Source organism: Homo sapiens, chromosome 17 (assembly GCF_000001405.40).
Source record: "Homo sapiens chromosome 17, GRCh38.p14 Primary Assembly".
NCBI lineage: Eukaryota > Metazoa > Chordata > Mammalia > Primates > Hominidae > Homo > Homo sapiens.
The window spans coordinates 79,998,511-80,017,726 of record NC_000017.11 but is presented as its reverse complement, the minus strand read 5'-3'; the positions used below and the strand labels follow the sequence as shown (position 1 = coordinate 80,017,726).

General features: G+C 55.2%; 1 protein-coding gene across 15 annotated transcripts in view, besides 2 other annotated features; it reads left to right on the top strand.

Moving 5' to 3' along the window:
- Positions 1–19,216, top strand: part of TBC1D16 (TBC1 domain family member 16) — a 103,530-nt gene that overhangs the window by 18,146 nt on the left and 66,168 nt on the right. For 11 of the 15 annotated variants that reach the window (XM_024450579.2, XM_024450580.2, NM_019020.4 and 8 more), the window contains exons 2-3: positions 4,118–4,360; positions 6,970–7,567. In XM_024450579.2, the coding sequence (XP_024306347.1) occupies positions 4,180–4,360; positions 6,970–7,567 (779 nt within the window). In that variant the 5' untranslated portion in view covers positions 4,118–4,179. The remainder of the gene's footprint in view (positions 1–4,117; positions 4,361–6,969; positions 7,568–19,216) is intronic. The other 4 variants (XM_047435346.1, XM_024450577.2, XM_047435344.1 and 1 more) reach the window with 1 other exon arrangement.
- Positions 4,347–4,513: a silencer, noted in NCBI's record as "fragment chr17:77987013-77987179 (GRCh37/hg19 assembly coordinates)". NCBI's record gives its function as "represses an EF-1alpha promoter that drives an FKBP-Casp9 reporter gene in an ReSE screen in phorbol 12-myristate 13-acetate-treated (for megakaryocytic differentiation) K562 erythroleukemia cells {active_cell/tissue: K562(+PMA)}" and the evidence as "EXISTENCE:reporter gene assay evidence [ECO:0000049][PMID:32094911]".
- Positions 14,848–15,708: an enhancer, noted in NCBI's record as "H3K4me1 hESC enhancer chr17:77975818-77976678 (GRCh37/hg19 assembly coordinates)". NCBI's record gives its function as "activates a minimal SCP1, AML or CMV promoter by ChIP-STARR-seq in naive H9 embryonic stem cells {active_cell/tissue: H9 hESC(naive)}" and the evidence as "EXISTENCE:reporter gene assay evidence [ECO:0000049][PMID:30033119]".

Below are 19,216 nucleotides of genomic sequence, written 5' to 3'. Positions count from 1 at the left end.
TGTGAGCTAAGGATGGTTTTTACTTTTTTTTTTTTTTTTTTTTTTTGAGATGGAGTCTTGCTCTGTCGCCCAGGCTGGAGTGCAATGGAGCGATCTAGGCTCACCACAACCTCTGCCCCCTGGGTTCAAGCGATTCTCCCGCTTGAGCCTCCCGAGTAGCTGGGATCACAGGCATGCACCATCACGCCCGGCTAATTTTGTATTTTTAGTAGAGATGGAATTTCTCCATGTTGGTCAGGCTGGTGTCGAGCTCCCGACCTCAGGTGATCCGCCCACCTAGGCCTCCCAAAGTACCAAGATTACAGGCGTGAGCCACCGCGCCTGGCCGGTTTTTACGTTTTTTAAGGGGGTTGAAAAATGGAAAGAATTCTTTTTGAGACACGTGAAAAATGATCTAGAATTTAAGCTTGAGTGTCTGTCAGTAAAGCTTCACTGTCACAGTCATGCCCATCATTTACTGTCTGTGGCTGCTCCTGCACTCCAAGGGCCGAGTTGAGTGGTCACGACAGAGACTCTCCGGCCCAGAGAGTCCAAAGCATTTACTCTCTGGCCTTTTGCAGAACAAGTTTGCTGACCCCTGCACCAAGGGGTCGACTTTCTTCTGCAGCCTTCATTGGACATGTTGAGGGAGCCTAAAAAGGGGTGGGCTAGGGAGAGCTGAGTGGATGAGGGCCCTGGAGACGGTTGAGATCAGGCAGAGGGCGTCTGTGGCTCAAGGCTGAGGAGGTGAGGATCTGAGCTGGGTCCCCACCCCCAGAACTGGTGATTTTCACAAGTGATGTTGACGTCGGGATCTCTGAGATGGGGAGATGGGGGTGATGGATCTGTCAGAGGAAAGACATGGGAATGGGAAGGCCACTCCTGGGCTGGCTGGAACATCTTTGGAATATTGTGCTTGGGAAGTCAGCAGCCATGGAGACAATTGGAAATACACAAACAGGGCTGGGGGAGGCTGAAGCATGGAGGGGGTCAGAGGAGAGGAACCCAGAGAGGCAGAGAGCGCTGAGCCGCCTGGTCCTGGGATGGTGGCCATCACCACTGACATCTGCCCCCTGCCTCCTGCCAGGCTGGGAGCCAGTTCTGCTGAGCCAGTGGGGACCCCTCCACCCACCCACCCACCCTCTGTCCCAGAGCCTAGCCAAGTGCTGGAGGTGAAAGGGACTTGATTTAGGGACCACCCTCAACCAGCTCTGGATCTTTGGAGAAATGTAAAAAATGCAGAAAGTTCAAAGAACAAGATCATATACCCGGAGACCCTCCACTAATAGATAATTTTTAACTTTTTTATTGTGGTAAAATACATATAACATAAAACTTACCACTTTAACCATTTTTAAGTATCAGGTTCAGCGGCATTGAGTACGATCATGTTGTAGAGCCGCCGCCACTGTCCACCTCCAGGACGCTTTCATCCTCCCAAGCTGAAGCTCTGTCCCCCTTAAACATGACCTCCCTATTCCCCCCACCTCACCCCCTGGCACCCACCATTCCACTTCCTGTCTCTGTGAACCTAACTGCTCTAGGGACCTCACACGAGTAGAATCCTACAGTGCTTGTCTCTTGTGACTGATTTGTTTCACTTAGCGCAATGTTTTCGGGGTTCATCCATGCTGTAGCAGGCGTCAGACTTTCTTTTCAAGGCCAAATAATATTCCATTATACTACATTTGGTTTATCCACTCCCAGTTACTAATTCTTTTTTTTTTTTTTTTTTTTGAGATGGAGTCTCGCTCTGTCACCCAGGCTGGAGTGCAGTGGCGTGATCTCGGCTCACTGAAACCTCCACCTCCTGGATTTAAGCGATTCTCCTGCTTCAGCCTCCCATGTAGCTGGGACTACAGGCACATGCCACCACACCTGGCTAATTTTTGTATTTTTAGTAGAGGCGGGGTTTTGCTATGTTGACCAGGCTGATCTCGAACTCCTGACCTCAGGTGATCCGCCCATCTCGGCCTCCCAAAGTGCTGGGATTACAGGTGTGAGCCACCGCTCCCAGTCAGAATTTCCTTTCTTTTAAGGCCAAATAATATTCCACTGTACCACATTTGGTTTATTCACTCCCAGTTGCTAATTCTTATCATGTTGGCTTCAAGTCTTTTCTTCCTTCAAAGAGGTGAAGGTGAAGCCCCTCTGTGGCTGTCGTCTCCCAGCCCCCTGACCTCTGCAGACTTTTGTGAAGCCGGCCTGCACGCAGCCCAGCTGTGGTCAGAGTCCTGGACATCCCCCATCAGTGATCAGGATGCAGCGTGGCTCTGTGCCTGTCTTTTATTTTTTTTATTTATTTTATTTTTTTGAGACGGAGTCTCACTCTGTCGCCCAGGCTGGAGTGCAGTGACTCAATCCCAGCTCACTGCAACCTCCACCTCCCGGGTTCAAGCAATTCTCCTGCCTCACCCTCCCGAGTAGCTGGGATTATAGGCTCGTGCCACCACACCCGGCTAACTTTTTTTTCTATTTTTAGTCAAGACGGGGTTTTGCCATGTTGGCCAGGCTGGTCTCGAACTCCTGACCTCAGGTGATCCACCTGCCTCGGCCCCCCAAAGTGCTTGGATTACAGGCATGAGTCATTGTGCCCAGCTGTGCCTGCCTCTTCACTGACACGGTCGTTCCTTGGCGTGGCTTGGTGTGTGTGTTTGTGAGCTCCATGTGTGTATAGAAGTCTAGTTGGTTCTCATCTGCTATCTAGAGGTTTGGTGGTTTCATTTTTGTTGGTAGAAACTGGCTGCAAAGCATTTGATTAGGTGTTTCCTTGGGTTCCTCCAGGCAGAGTCATCACATGTTTCAGGTCACAGCGCATTATATATACATTTCATACGTCCCAGGTCGTCTTACCCACATGAATGTGTCCTCACGGGGCAGAAGTTCTCTGACCCAGTGCTGAGCCTACCTATGGCCAGGGTTCAAGGGCATTTTCTATTTTTTTTTTCTTTTTTTCTTCTTATGCTGGTGTTGACCCACTAAATTGATTTCAGGATCTATGATAGGGCTGCAAATTGCAGTTTGAAGAACCACCCTCAGGTATTTCCTAAGGGAGGAATTTCAGGGGGCTTTGGGCCTTCTCAGTGGTGCCAGATTCTGCCATGTTGCTCCCGCATTGGAGGAGACAGGACTGGTGACAGCTCCCCTTTCCCTCATCCTCAGTATTTTTTGACTTAAAATTGCTTTTTGCTGGTTTGTTGGGTGTTGAATTTTTGTTTGGAACTGAGAATCTCTTTACATATTTATCAGTTCTTTGGTTTTCCTCTTGTGTGGAGCACCCATTTTTTTCTGTTGAGATGTTGCTCCTTTTCACCATGAATTTATAGGAGTTCTTTATATATTCTGTATACTAATCCTTTAGTTTATAAATTTTCCTTCTTTCTTTTTTTTTGAGACAGAGTCTCGCTCTGTTGCCCAGGCTGGAGTGCAGTGATGTGATCTCAGCTCACTGCACCCTCCGCCTCTTGGGTTCAAGCGATTCACCTGCCTTAGCCTCCCGAGTAGCTGGGACTGTAGGCGCCCGCCACCGCACCTGGCTCATTTTTGTATTTTTGGTAGAGATGATGTTTCACCATGTTGGCCAGGCTGGTCTCGAACCCCTTACCTCAAGTGATCTGTCTGCCTCAGCCTCCCAGAGTACTGGGATTACAGGCGTGAGCCAGTGCGCCTTGCCTGTTTATTTCTTTTTAATGAATTAGAAGGGCTCATTTGTGCTGATGCAGGTGGGAAACTGAGAAAAGAAAACGTTTTTTTTTGTGAAAAAAACGTTTTTGTGGAGGTTTTTGTGAAATTGCTAAGGTGGGAACAGAGTTTCTGTAGCTTAGTGGTTCTCCTTGGGAGGGATTTTGCCCTCCAGGGCACATTTGGCAAAGCCTGGAGATGTTCTAGTTTTCGTACTGGGAAGGGAGGTGCTGGTGGCATCCACAGGTTGAGGCGAGGGACGCTGCTCAGCCTCCTGCGATGGACAGGGTGGCCTGGCCAAGATGGAGAACGTGGCCTACCCTGTACAGAGCTGTTCACCAGCAGGACACGCTCCTGTGGTTAACCAGAACCCACCGGGTGCCGAGGCGACACGTACTGCTGTGAGACAGAACGCAAGTCCACAACCTTGACCATCTCCTCTCTCTTCCTCCCCCAGGCAGGTCTTGACGAGCCCTGCCCGGGCCGACGCATGCGGAGGATGGAAACACTTGCCCGGCAATGTCTCTGGGCCGCCTCCTTCGCAGGGCCTCCTCCAAAGCCTCGGACCTCCTGACCCTCACCCCCGGTGGCAGCGGCAGCGGGTCCCCCTCTGTCCTGGATGGAGAGATCATCTACTCCAAGAACAATGTCTGCGTGCACCCGCCGGAGGGGCTGCAGGGGCTGGGGGAGCACCACCCAGGTGAGCCAGGGCAGGCGAGGCTCCAGGGTCGCACAGCCCAGGTTATTTTCCGAGCCAGGGCTCTAAAGGCCCTGGGCCACAGCACGTGAGAGTGCATTTGGTTCCTCTTCCAGAACGTGTAACTAACAGCAGCTGTCCTCCCGGAAGGAGGGTCTGGGGGGTGTTAAGTCTGGCTCATGGCAGGCTGGGTGAGTCCCTCAGCCCTGCTGCTTCCAAAGGGAGGGACAAAAGATGGGTTAGTGATCCCTCAGGCCTGCCTGGCCCCTTGTCATTCGTGTGAATGACTTGCAACAAATAAATGCATTGCTTTGTTCATCTGTTGCTTTATTTAATTTGCACAACAACCTCATGGGAGTGGCCAGGGCCCCAGCAGGCCTCTTAGGTGGGTAAGGACGCTGGTGTTCAGAGAGGCTGAGCGACTCTCGGCTGCACAGTGCCAGTGTGTGGTGGAGGTGGGGCTGCAGGGCAGTCTCTGGACTCTCTCTTCTCATTTCTTCCTGTTGCCGTCCCCTTCCCTGGCTGCTAAAAGGATGTTTCAGGGCCCCAGTGTCCTGCAGCCTGGCTGTGGCCTGCCCCGGCACACCCTAACATTTGCTTGGCTTGGGCAAGAGTACAGACAGAAGTCCCAGACAAGATGGCAAAATAGTAAAGTTGTCATCTGGGCGAGGTGGTTCACACCTATAATCCCAGCACTTTGGGAGGCTGAGGTGGGAGGATTGCTTGAACCCAGGAGTTTGAGACCAGCCTGGGCAACAGAGTTAGATTTCATCTCTATTAAAAAAAAAAAAGTTATAAATTACAGTGAGATCTGGGCACTTTATGCAGATTATGTTTCAATCGAATACTGAATAAATAAATTTTTAAACAAGACAAAAGTTTAAATTATGCCAATGAAACATTTAAAGAGAGTGTTCTGTCCCCCTGCCTTGATAAGTGTATCTTTATAGCCACCGGCTGGTTGGCTGCGGCTGTGTGGGCAGGGGCTTCCCTGGAGTGCCCTAGAAAGGGGTGCAGGTTCTGGGCGATGCGGCCCCTCGACCCGGAGGTTGCCTGGCCTGAGGGTGTTCTAGAGAGAGAGACCAGGGAGTAGCCACCTCGGACCCTCTTGCCGATCTCAAAGGATGTGGAAACACTTCTCAGCCTCAGGCTCATGTTATCCTAATGCCCAGCTGGCTGACATTCCCCAAATTTCCCAGCCTGTTTTGGCAACAGGAGCAGTGCTTAGGAGATTCTAGGGGTCTGAGTTGTAGAGGCCTGGAGAGTGGGTGGGGGAGGCCCAGGAATCAGGATATCCTGAAACTGCGTGGTGCTGGGTTAGGAAATGCCACCTCCCCCCAGAACTGAGCACCCACCCACTTGCTCTGGCCCAGGAGAAATCCCTCCTCCCATGTCACCAGCAACCCCGTGTGTGACATCAATGCTCATCTGCAAAGGTGGCCCCTTCCTCAAACAATCTGCATTAAAAAAATGCCATGAGTGCCACTGATGATTGGAAAAGGCCCAAATACCACCCAGCTTGGATGAATTTTTTTTTTTTTTTTGAGACGGAGTCTCGCTCTGTCATCCAGGCTGGAGTGCAGTGGTGCAATCTCGGCTCACTGCAAGCTCCGTCTCCTGGGTTCACGCCATTCTCCTGCCTCAGCCTCCCAAGTAGCTGGGACTACAGGCGCCCACCATCACGCCCGGCTAATTTTTTGTACATTTAGTAGAGACAGGGTTTCACCATGTTAGCCACGATGGTCTCGATCTCCTGACCTCGTGATCCACCCGCCTTGGCCTCCCAAAGTGCTGGGATTACAGGCGTGAGCCATCACGCCTGGCTGTATGAATTCTTTTTGTGAAACAGAATGAAGTCTCCAGCCTCCATCCCTCCTAACAGTGCTGTAAAGCCATGAAGCTGGGCACCTGGGCCGCTGGGCTCACACAGACAGGGAGGCTGCAGGCAGGTGAGCCCTGGGGCCAGGGTCAGGGCTCTGAACACAGGGAGAGCCCCTGGTGTACTTGGAAAGGTGCATGGCAAGCCTGAGTTCGTGGCTCATCGCCTGTAATCCTAGCACTTTGGGAGGCTGAGGTGGGCGGTTCGCTTGAGCTCAGGCGTTTGAGACTAGCCTGGGCAACATAGTGAAACCTTATTTCTACCAAAAAAAAAAAAAAAAAAATTAGCTGGGTGTGGTGGTGTGCACCTGTAGTCCCAGCTACTCGGGAGCTGAGGTGGGAGGATTGCTTGAGCCTAGGAGGTGGGGGTTGCAGTAAGCTGAGATTGTGCCACTGCACTCCAGCTTGAGACACAGAGCGAGACCCTGTCTCAAAGAAAAAAGAAACAAACCCAAAAACCAAAAAGAAAGGCGCATGGCAGGCCGGTGCTTGGGGACCAGTGCCCCCTGGATCTGCCGGAAGTGTGTGTTCTTAAAAAACACGCATAGCTGGAATTCATTTCAAGCTCCACAGTTTCCCTCTAGTGTTTTTGCTCAGGGCCAGGCTGTATCTGAGGCCGGACTGGCACTTTACTAAAGGGCAGTGGCCTCTCCGAGCAGCTCGCCAAAGGTACCACAAGGGCCTCATCCACAGCCTCCTGGCCTCTAACGTGCCATCCCCCTGGCTCCTCACAGGTTACCTGTGCTTGTACATGGAGAAGGATGAGATGCTGGGAGCCACCCTCATCCTGGCATGGGTCCCCAACTCTCGCATCCAGAGGCAGGACGAGGAGGCCCTGCGCTACATCACACCCGAGAGCTCCCCCGTTCGCAAGGCACCCCGCCCTCGGGGCCGGCGCACCCGGAGCTCAGGAGCCTCCCACCAGCCCTCCCCGACGGAGCTGCGGCCTACCCTGACCCCCAAAGATGAGGACATCCTGGTGGTGGCCCAGAGTGTTCCAGACCGCATGCTCGCCAGCCCTGCGCCAGAGGATGAGGAGAAGCTGGCGCAGGGCTTGGGGGTGGATGGTGCCCAGCCAGCCTCGCAGCCTGCTTGCAGCCCCTCCGGGATCTTGTCGACGGTCAGTCCGCAGGATGTCACCGAGGAGGGGCGGGAGCCGCGGCCCGAGGCCGGGGAGGAGGATGGCTCTTTGGAACTGTCAGCCGAGGGCGTGAGCAGAGACAGCTCCTTTGACTCAGACTCAGACACCTTCTCCTCGCCCTTCTGCCTCTCGCCCATCAGCGCGGCGCTGGCCGAGAGCCGCGGCTCCGTGTTTCTGGAAAGTGACAGCAGGTGAGTTCCTGGTTCTGGGCGTGGGCTCTCGGGAGGCCCCCAAGGCCTGACCTGGGCAGGAAGCACTCACCTGCGTCACCTGTGATGCCAGGTGAGCGCTGGAGGCATCTGCCCGACCTGCCCGCGGCTGTGGCCGTGGCTGTGGCAGGAGCCCCTCCCTGAGGCAAGGGCTTCAGCAGGGAGTCCCCACTTTACACCCCACTGAGAGGACTGTGAAGGGTGCGTCGGGGTGTCCACATTCTTCTCTCTCCTTGAGACTCACTAGGACTAAACAGGCCCTACCAGGTCTGATGGGCCCATGACCAAGGCTAAGCCCCCGGGAGTCCTGGTCCCTTCTGTTCCCATCACCGGAGGGGCAGGAGATTTTCAGTCCCCAAGCGAGTGCCCAAGAGGCCCGGGTGGCATCATTAGGCTCACGCACAGGGCTGGCCCAAGCCCAGATGTGCTGGTCTCCAGCTCCCCGCTCTGCCCTGCAGCCCACTGGGCACGTGACCTGGCCCCCTGTGGTCCCCGGAGGCTTCAGCCTCCCTCTTTCTCATAGCTGTGGAGGATGGATGTAGTCCCGGGGCAGTGTTGACCATATTCACCCGACTTGGCAGCCGCTATGCACCCTGGGGAGTCCAGCCAGAGTATCTGGACTCCTTGCTGGCCACACTTGCAGGAGCTAGAGTTGGGCCCGTGCCCTGCGGTGGGTTCCCTGGGCCTTGGAACCCAAAGAGACCTTCCTGAGTGGGGAGGGTTGCATGGTGCCACGAGGGCCCTCATGGCCTTGGGGTGAGTGCCCGTGTGGTCGCATAAGCCCGGAGCCCCAGAGCCAGCACAGGGGGCCTGCATCCGACTTCCACAGCCCCTTCCTATGCCCCGGCTGTGGTCCTTACGCTCATTAGATTTCTGGGCAAATAATGGTGGTGACCACAGACAACAGTAAGAGCCGACATCAGTCAGCGAGCAGGTCATTAACTGTTGAGCTCGTGGTGTGAGCCGGGCGCATGCTGGACGTGGGTGGTCTGGGTCTCGCCTGGGCGCTGGACACCGTGGGCTATGGATGGTACGTGTGTGCTTTCCACAGCCCCACGCCCCGTGAGGTGGGCCCTCCTATTATCCCCTGCTATCGAAGGGGAAAGGGCGGCTCGGAGAAGGTCAGCAGCTTGCCAGGGGTCTCCCAGCCAGTGCCCGGGCCAAGCTGGGATGTGAACCCAGCTGGGTCTGCCCCAGGGCTGCAGCATAAAAGGTCACCCCAGGCCGATTAAGCCGGGGAGTGGTGGGGCATGAAGTAAGGACACAGGCTTTGCTGGCCTCAGCAGGGGTGACTGTGGGACGGGTTCTTCCCTGATTTTATCCCTCCAGTAAAGATGCAGTCCATTAGAGCCCCAGGGTGAACCGATAACATTCATCTCAGTTATTGGAGAGTGCAGATAAAAGGAAGCCGTGAGCCGTAACTGAGGACTCCAGGTGCCAGGAGGCTTGCTGAGCTGGGTGGCGTCAGGCGCCAGGGAACCCGAGGAGGTGTGGGGGAGGCGGGGCCCGAACTCTGGTCCTGGCCTGGGTCCCGCAGGCCGGACTCAGTCGGAGCTCCCCCTGGTGGTGCCAGGCCAACAGTGCAGCAGAACCTGCAGGCGTCCCCGTGTCCCTGCATCCCCAGGGCCCAGGCGAGGGGAAGGTCCCAGTTGTGTCTCAGAGAGGTGGTGGGGTTGGCCCACGGTCTTGGGGCTGAGGATTCTGTGGCAGAACCACAACCAGAAGCTGGCCGGTCAGCTCTCTGTCCCGCAGCCCCATCTCGTAGGGAGCTCAAGTTTAGGAGTTAGGGAGTTGAGTGCCGGTTGAGTCCTGGCATCACTGGTTAGTGTGAACCTGGGAAATTCTTTCTTTTCTTGGAGCCTCGGTTTCCCTGTTTGTAAGATGAGGCTGGTAATATCCACTTTCTGGGGGTATTGTGAGAATGCACCCCGGTTCGCTTTTCCCCGCCCTTCGCCTTGCTGGTTCTTCAACCTGGCTGCATGTGGGGGTTCCTGGGGGAGCCTTTAGACGCTGATGCCCAGGTCCCTCCAGGTTCTTCTAGAGCAGTGATTCTCACCCGGGGCCGAGTCTGTGCCCAGGGGGTGTATGGCAATGCCAGGAGACACTTTTTTTTTTTTTTTATCACAACTGAGGGTGGGGATGTATTGGCATCAGTGGGCAGCGGACAGGCGTGCTGTGCACTCACTCTGGAAGCCAGGCTGTCCCTCTGCCTGGGACCCACCGGGGGCCGCCCATCATTTTCAGGATGAAGCACCATCTCCTTCACTCGGGGTCCAAGGCCCATCACCATCTGGCCCTGCTGAGCGATGCTGCCTGCCTCCCCACCCCCCACTGTGCACACCTCCAAGTTCGTCGTCCTCTCTGCCTCTAGATCTTGTGGGGCTCTCTCTGCCTCATGCCTTTGGCTAGGGATCCCCTCTACCTAGGCTTCCTCCTTCCCCTCTCTCCTAACCGGCCAGCTTATATGTTTGAGACTCAGCTCCTGGGGCGAGGCACCTTCATGTCAGCTTTTGGGGGAGGCTTCTCTATTCCCCCGAACCCTGGGCTGAGGAGGGCCCTCCCCATGGCCCCCTTCTCTGCTCTGACACTCGAGTCCCCACTGAGACACCCTGTCCGCCTGTCCGTCCCCAGCTGCTGGGAGGCAGATGGTGGTGAAGGAGTAAATTTTGGGGTCCGACAGATCTGTTTCCAGTCCTGGCATCATCCTGAGTTATGTGTGATCTTGTGGCCATTACCTCCCACATCCAAAACGCAGATGCCTCACGGGTGTGAAGTGCGGCCAAGAACCCCCTTGTAGGGCAGAGTCGGCGTGAGGGTTGAGCACCAGCCTGGGGTATGGGGTCAGCGAGCCTGGCCTGGGACTCGTCCCCACCCGGAGACCGTGCTGGGGGGTGCTTACCACAGCCCGGCCCTGCTCCTGATGAAGGCTCAGAAAATGCCTCTTGGCCACATGGCCGCGGGCTCGGTGTGGCTCGCACCTCAGGCCTGTGTCAGCCCGGTCCAGGGGAGGCTCGCTGAACGTGGCGAGTTGCAGCTTTGTGCTGGGACGAGGTGGATGTGGATGGGACTCTCCCCACCCCGCCAGAAGCGTGTGCTTCAGTGCAAGGCTGGAGTGAAAACAGCCTGTCTCCAAGACAGACTGCTGAGAGCTTTCTTTTTATTTTTAAAAAGTAGATATGGAGGCCGGGCACTGTGACTCACGCCTGTAATCCCAGCACTTTGGGAGGCCAAGGTGGGTGGATTGCTTGAGCCTAGGAGTTCAAGACCAGCCTGGGGAAAATGGCAAAACCTCATCTCTATAAAAAATACATAAAAATTAGCTGGGCATAGTGGTGCATGCCTATGGTCCCAGCTACTCAGGAGGCTGAGGCAGGAGGATGGCTTAAGCCTGGGAGGTGAAGGCTGCAGTGAGCTGTGATCATGCCACTGCACTCCAGCCTGGGTGACAGAGAGATACTCTGTCTGGAAAAAAAAAAAGAAAGAAAGAAAAAGAAAAGCAGACATGGATTCTGAAAGGGGCTGGGCGAGCCCTGGAATCTGCATTTCCCTGGTCTTTCCTTGCTCCTGTGCGCTTCTGGCCCCCACCACATGGTAGACCCAGGAAGCAGAGGTGGTGCTCCTTGCCCCATCCCCATCCCCCGGGGCCTTCGTATGATGGGACTGGAGATCCTTGGCTAAGGTGGTTAATTGTCCTAGACGCTGTAGAGCAGGCGTCCCCAGCCCGGCTGCCCATGAGAATGCCCTGGGCAGCTTTAAAAATCCTGATGCCCAGGCTGCACCCAGACCAATTAAACTAGGATCGCTGGGGTGGCGCCCAGGCATGGGAATGTTTTGAACTTCCTGGGGGTTTCTGAAGTGCACGTAGCGTTGAGAACCCCTGCTGTGAAGGGGCTGAGAGAGAGAGAGAGAGAGAGAAAGAAAGAGAGAAAGAGAGCGAGAGAGCGAGAGAGAGCGAGAGCGCTCCTGGTGCTCTGGGGTGGGGAGGGGTGTCAGGGCCGAGGACCCCAGATGACTGGCCATCCCGCCAGGCAGGGGTGTTGGTGAGGACTCGGGTGCACCCATCGCCACTCTGAGCGGTGGGGCGTCTATTAATAATTAACCCGGAGTTGAGTCCCCCCGGAGGGCAGAGCAGGTAGGCTGGCTCGAGGGTCCCCTCTAGTGGTGGATCTGAAGAACTGCATGTGCAGGCTGCGTGTCTGGCTGAGATTGGCCAGGAGGGACAACTCCCCCACCCCACCCCGGGGGCCTAGGGTCCCCCAGGTATATGGTTATTTGGCAAGTAGTTCACAGAAGAGCTTAGGGGTTAGAAATGGCAGTATCCCCCGGGCTGCCCACATTCGTGTGCTACCTGTAGAGTATGGCCAGGTGGGGTCTGCATGCTGGAAGGTGAGCCCACCTACTAAACCCAGAGGTCTCCTTTGGAAGCCCCAGGCCCCAGGCCCCAGTCCAGCGACGGCCTGGAAATCCTTGACCAAGTGAGTATTCGAGGCTGACTTGGGGGATGGGGTGATACGGAGAGCTGCTGTCGCCAATGCGTCGTCCTGCCTCCCCGCCCTGAGACCCCAAGACCCTGAGCTTCCCCGAGCCGGGGGTGAGCCCTGGGCTATCTTGGTCCTGTGCCCTCCTCAGTGTCAGAAAGCAAGGCTCTCGGGTGTGCTGGGGAGGGTGACCACCAAGCGCGACTGGTCATCCTGCCCTTGGTTTCTGTGCTGGAAGCTACCGTCCAGCCTAAAAGGCCAGTTGGGCGAGGGTGTGGAATAACGGGGCGCCATGGGGCTGGTACCGTGTCCACTGACCCTGCCCCGGGGATGTGCATTGGTGACCTGGATAAAGAACTGAAACAAGCCTGGGCAACATAGCGAGACCCCGTCTCTACCAAAAAGAAAAAAAAATTAGCTGGGTGTGGTGGTGCACACCTTTAATCCAAGCTGCTACTCCGGAGGCTGAGGCAGGAGGACTGCTTGAGCCTGGGAGGTGGAGGCTGCAGTGAGCCATGATCGCACCAGTGCACTCAAGCCTGGGTGACAGAGTGAGACCTTGTCAAAAACAAAAACAACAACAACAAAAACAAGAACAACAAAAACACCAGATTCTGCTCCCTAAGTGAAAATGTCTCCTCTGGACCTCATCCTAAGAAAGAATCCAAATTACAGATAGAAAGGCCAAAGTGGCCGGCACGTGGCTTAAGCCTGTAATTCCAGCGCTTTGGGAGGCTAAGGTGGGCAGATCACTTGAGGTTGGCAGTTGGAGGCCAGCGTGGTCAACACCGTAAAACCCCATCTCAACTAAAAATACAAAAATTAGTTCAGCATGGTGGCACATGCCTGTAATCCCAGCTACTTGGGAAGCTCAGGCACGAGAATCGCTTGAACTTGGGAGGCAGAGGTTGCAGTGAGCCGAGATGGTGCCCCTGCACTCCAGCCTGGGTGACAGAGCTAGACCTTGTCTCAAAAGAAAATAAAAGTAGAAAGACAAACGCTTCTGCATGAAGATGTTCATCGTGGTATTCCTTACAGTGGGGAAAAAGGAGCAGAACATAAGAATCCAACGGCAGAGGAGGTGGACCGACTAAGGTCCCTCTAAGGTCCCTCTGTTGGATCAGGGAGTTTTCAAACCTGGGCTCACGAACCCCTGAGATCTTACCCCACTTTTTTTTATATGAGGAGGAGGCACCATCTGACTTCCCAGAAGGTCTGTGACCTGTAAAACGTTCAGAAGCTCGGTGCTGCCAGATAGGAGAAGATGTGGTATTGACAAGGACTGTCAAATGGTCCATGCAGTGTTGCAGTGTGGAAATTTAGAGTGAATCAGACGCAAAGCAGGAAACGGGTTATGATTCTGCCCGTTGCAGTTAAACTCTGTGAAGAGGCCTGAGGTGCAGATGAGGCTCTCAGGGCAGGGCTGCCCAGCAGAGCTTCTGCCAGGGCAGACAGAACCCAGGTCTGCGCCGTCCCGCACTGCGGCCACTGGCTTCATGCAGCTCTTGAACCCTTGAAATGGCGCAAGTGCAACTGAATTTTTAATTTTACATAATACGGATTAATAAAATTGTTTTTAATTTTAAAATGTTTTTAAGTTTCGTTTTTAGAGACAGAGTCTCACCGTATTGCTCAGGCCGGCATACGGTGGCGGCAGCACAATCACAGCTCACTGCAGCCTCCACCTCCCGGGCTCGAGCGATCCTCCCACCTCAGCCTCTCAAGTAGCTGGGATTGCAGACATGCACCACCATGCCCCGTTCATTTATTTTATTTTTTAGAGACAGACTCTTGCTCTGTTGCCTAGGCTGGTCTCAAACTCCTAGGCTCAAGTGACCCTCCTGCCTGGACCTCCCAAAGTGCTGGGATTACAGGCATGAGCCGCGTGCCCGGCCCTGATGAATATAAATGTGGATAGCGCCTGTGGTCAGTGGCCACGGCAGTGGATGGCAGAGGTTGAGAGGAAGGTGTGCCCACGTGTTAGCCTAGTGTGATTATGAGCACTTTTTTTTTTTTTTTACTTTTCTGTTTTCAAAAATGTTATTCTGTGATTATATTAAGCTTAGAATGAAAACCAATGTATAAAAATAGACAGAAGGGGAGAACCTGCACATTTGGGGACGCTAAGCATCTCCCACTGCGCTGCACGCTGCTAACTAGTGAAGAGGCCTCCAGGGCGAGCTGGTCACTGAGGTCCTTCCAGTGACACCAGTGCCGCCGGCCTGCCACCTTGGGTCCCGTGCCGCCAGCGGGGCCTCCCCCTGGGGAAGTGAGTGTTTCGTTCTCTCTCTCCCTGGGTCCTCTTGTCATTCCCGGCATGCGTTCCCGGGGTGGCCAGCCTAGGCAAGATGGTGTTTGGGTGTTGGGATGGGCTGGGTGGCCTGGCCTCAGAGTTTGGCCACTTGTTACTGTGGTTTCTGTCATGCAGTTCCTGCCAGGTCAGACTCAGTCCAAGCGGGTTGGCGCGGCCACAGGTGGGCAAGGGCCAGGAGCAATGTGCTGCCCACCTGGGGGTGCTGCCGGGACCCCCTGCCCTCCCACTTTCCTCTTGCCCTTTCCTGCACACACACTGGGCACTTCACCCCAAGCATAGCCGCTTCCCACCTTGCTGCCCGCAGCTGGAATGTTCTCCTCTCTCCTGCTGAATCCCCAGCCCACCTGCAGGTGGAAGAGACTTTCTTCTCCGTGACCCCTGCTGGGACCTGAGCTTTCTCTCTGGAGAGCTCCTATCAAGGCCGCGTGGTGTTCCCTACGTGCGCCACCGTTCCCGGGTGCTTCCTCACAGGGTCCTCCCAGTGCCTGGGCCAGCGCCGTCAGCAGAGCGTCCTGCAGTGCACGCGGTCCTGTGCCTGTGCCCCACTGTGTGTGGCCACCACGCCCTAGAAATGCAGCAGATGTGGCCAAGCAACTGGACTTTGGTCTTTCTTTATCTTCAATGAATGTGAAGTTTGGTGGTCACAGCGGGAGGCCTCCATGCCTGACAGCACAGGTCTGGACGGAATGTTCCTGGGAGGATGGAAGGTGGACCCTAGAAACGTAGCGACCCTCCCAGCAGGACAGGCCCGAAAAACTCTCTGTCCAAAGTAATGGGGGAAAGACGAGATGATAAGACAAGGCCCCTCTACTCCCTCAGGGTGGCCCCTGTCATGGGGGCGATGGCACAAGGGTTCACCTGGAGCTGGCCAGTGCTTGGACAGCAGACCCCATGGGGCGGCCGCTCCCCACCTCACATGGCTTCCCTGGCAGGTGCCAGCCCACCCCGCAGGGCGTGCGAGGCAGTAATAAACGGCATCTAAGTGCTTTCTGCCTTTAGGAGGAAAAGGCTCCTTGTCGACCGAGTATCAGCGGCAGCGGCTGAATTATTAACGGCGTTATCGTTCATCGTTGGTGTAATGGCCCCTGTCCTCCTACACGGCACAGAGGACAGAAATGAGGCTCTCGGGGAAGAGTCCAGTCTCTGAGAATGAGCTAGAGCCAGTGCGCTTGGTGGGCCAGGACCCAGTGCTGGGAAGCATCCTTGCAGGAGCTCCCACGGAAGGCCCTGGGGGTGTCGCCCTGGACTCACAAAGCTCTGCTCGTTCCGGATCCCTTCTGCGTTTCCTGCCGTTCCTTTTCTGCCCAACCCTCCAGGCAAGCCCGAGGAGGATTAGAAACTCCTGGAGGTGGGCGAAGAAGTGAGCGGTGGCACACGAATCAGGACACACTTTGCCCTTCCCGTCTTTGTTCCGGGGCGCAGCAGCTGCCCAGCAAATCAGAGCCTGGAGCAGGAGACGGGGACACAAAGCAGGGGATGAGGAAGGGAGCAGGAGGCGGGGGGTGGAGGGAAGGGCATGTGAGAGGGTCCAGGGCAAGAGACAGCAGGGAAGGGGGCAAGGGGTGAGTGGGGAGGGTGGGCCGTGCGTGTCTTAGGGGCCACTCCAGCAGCAGCAGGGACCAGGGGCAGGTGCAGCACAGATATCCAGGAGCTGCCGCCACCCAGGGGAGGGACAACTGGGTCCCAGAGAGACCTCGGAGGTGGGATGGCCAGGAGCTGGGAGGGCTGCATCCTCCATTCCTCCCAAATTTCAGGATCAAACCCCTGATCCCGGTCGTGGGCCAACCAGGGCGCCCGGGGATACCCCGAGAGCGCCCGCCGCCCCCTGAGGATGCTCCAGGAACCCCCGCCCACCCCTCCGGGCCCAGCGCAGCCTGGCAGCCGGGAAGCCAGCAGCTCCTGAAGGTCTGTTGTTTGGGTTTGTTTGTGCTTCTGTAACCGGGAGCTGAGATTTATTTCTTTAAAACATCCCATTGCCCGACACCCTGCAATCTGTTCTGTGTGTCGTTCAGACTAATCTCGTCTTGTTTCTGTAGCACTTGGCAGGCTCTGTGTGGCGTTCCTCCCTCCCCCAGACTCCCCCCTGCCCAAGCCAAGGTGGCCACCACCAGCTGCTCCGCCTGCACCCAGAGAGTGGCCGATGCCAGGGGTCTGAGGGAAGCTGTTACGGGAAGGGCAGCTGGCTGGTCAGAGCCCCATGAACTGGCATGTGGCCATAGTCAGTCTAGAAATGGCCACAGGACATAGCCTCGCCCCAGCAGTCTCACTGTCAGGCGGAGAAGCCAAGCAGGCGCCCAGCCGAGCACTGGTCCCCTCCCTGGCTGCCCCTCAGCTCTGGGAGCTTGGAGGGGCTGCCAAAGAATTCGACTGGGATGCCACCGTGCCCAGCCCTCTGGTGTGCAACTGTGGCATGGCTGTTTGGCTCACACATGATGTCTAGGCAGAGAAGGGGCTGGCGGGCTTGGTTGGGTGAGGCCTGTAAGTGAGCTTTGGTCAGAGACCCAGCTGTGAATCCAAGCTCCACTCAAGACCCGCAGGGGGTGGCCTTGGACGGTGTTGAACCACTCTGTACCTCAGTTTACTCCTCTGTGAAGTGGGGGCATTGTGGGGGTTCAGGAAGGCCGTGCGTGTAAAGCTCTGCACAGAGGGCTCAGTACAGGGCAGATAGACAGTCATCATCACTGTGTACCTGACTGAGTTGCCAGCCCCGTTGGACGTGCTCGTATCAGTGTCCTGGGGCTGCTGTGACAAAGGACCACAAACCGGGTGCTTGAAACAAGAGAAATGTATTCTCTCACAGTCCTGGAGCCAGAGGTCCAAAATCAAGGTGTCTGCAGAGCCACGCTCCCTCTGGAAGGTCTAGGGGAGGGTCCTTCCTGGTCTCTTCCGGTTTGAGTGGCTGCAGGCATTCCTTGGCTTGTGGCCACATCATTCCGACCCCTGCCTCTGTTGCCACATGGACAGGGTGTGTCCCTTTGTGTGCCCTCTCTTCTTCTCATACGGATGCCAGTCATTAGATAGGGCCTACTCAAATCTAGGGTGACCTCATCTTAGCTTGGTGACATCTGCTGAGACCCTATTTCTGAATAAGGTCACATTGGGAGCTTCTGTGTGGACATGAATCTTGGGGGAGCACTGTTCACCGCGGCATATGCTCTATGGGTGCCAACCTGAATCCCAGAAACAGCTCCCGACATCAGTGTGGTCATCACCCCGTTTTAGGAAAGGGTGACGCAGAGCTCAAGCCTTCAGCACAAGTGATGGCTGAGCAGTGACTCTGGTTAAAAACAAAAAGCAAAAAACCAAACACAATCAGGGCCCTGAGAAACTCCTTGTTTCTGTCATGTCAGTTGCTCCTCATGGCCCAGCCTCGTCGACCCCTAGAGCTGAGCGAGTGAGTCTGGTCAGGAGTCCCAGACAGGTTGCTGGGGCCCCGGCAAAGACACTATAGAAATGGGCTTCCAAAGAGACAAAAGAGATTGTGTTCATTTTAGAAATTCGAGGGTGGCCAGGCCTGGTGGCTCAGGTCTGTAATCCCAGCACTTTGAGAGCCCAAGGCGGGCGGATCACCTGAGGTCAGGAGTTCGAGACCAGCCTGGCCAACATAGTGAAACCCCGTCTCTACTAAAAAGTACTAAAATTAGCCAGGCGTGGTGGTGGATGCCTGTAATTCCAGCTACTCGGGAGGCTGAGGCAGGAGAATCACTTGAACCCAGGAAGCGGAGGTTGCAGTGAGCCGAGATCACGCCACTGCACTCCAGCCTGGGCAACAGAGTGAGACTCCATCTCAAAAAAAAAAAAAAAAAAAAAAAAAAAGAAATTTGGGGGAAAGGCAGAAGGGAAATATTTGTGATCTTTGATCCCTCTGGTGTTGCCGTTATCATTTTGGTTGGTTTTCTTCCTGGACTTTCAAAGTTGGGAATTGTAATTGTCTATTCCAGGGGTTGGCAGGTGGGCCAGACAGCAAGTATTTTCTGCTTTGGGGGCCAGATGGTTTTGGCTGCAGCTTTTCAATTCTGCCCTTGTAGCATGGAAGCCACCACACAATGTATGTTAATTGGCATGGCTGTGTTCCATTAATTTTTTTTTTTTTTGAGACAGTGTCTCACTCTCTCGCCCAGGCTGGAGTGCAGTGGTGTGATCTTGGCTCACTGCAACCTCCACCTCCTGAGTTAAAGCAATTCTCCTGCCTCAGCCTCCCGAGTAGCTGGGACTACAGGTGCCCACCACCACACACGGCTAATTTTTGTATTTTTACTAGAGATGGGGTTTCGCCGTGTTGGCCGGGCTGGTCTCAAATTCCTGACCTCAGGTAATCCCCCCGCCTCGGCCTCCCAGAGTGCTGGGGTTACAGGCGTGAGCCACCGCGCCCAGCCCCATTCACGTTTTATTAAGGATACTGAAAGTGGAATTTCATATAATTTTCATGTGTTGTGAAATATTCTCCTCTGGATTTTTTTCAACATTTAAAAATGTTCAAAACCATCCTTCACATGAAACCTGCACGCAGGTGTTTGTAACCACTTCATTCATACGGGCGCGGTGGAAGCAGTCAGGATACCCTGTGGTGGTGGGTGGATGTGCGAACGGTGGCGCTTCCCTGCAAGGGAATATTGTTTATGGATAAAAGGAAATGAGCTGTCAAGCCTTGAGCAGATGTGGAGGATGCTGAAATGTACATTGCTACGTGGAAGAAGCCAATCTGGGCCGGGTGCGGTGGCTCACACCTGTAATCCCAGCGCTTTGGGAGGCCGAGGTGGGTGATCACTTGAGCTCAGGAGACCAGCCTGGGCAACATGGTGAAACCTTGTCTCTACAAAAAAAAAAAAAAAAAATTAT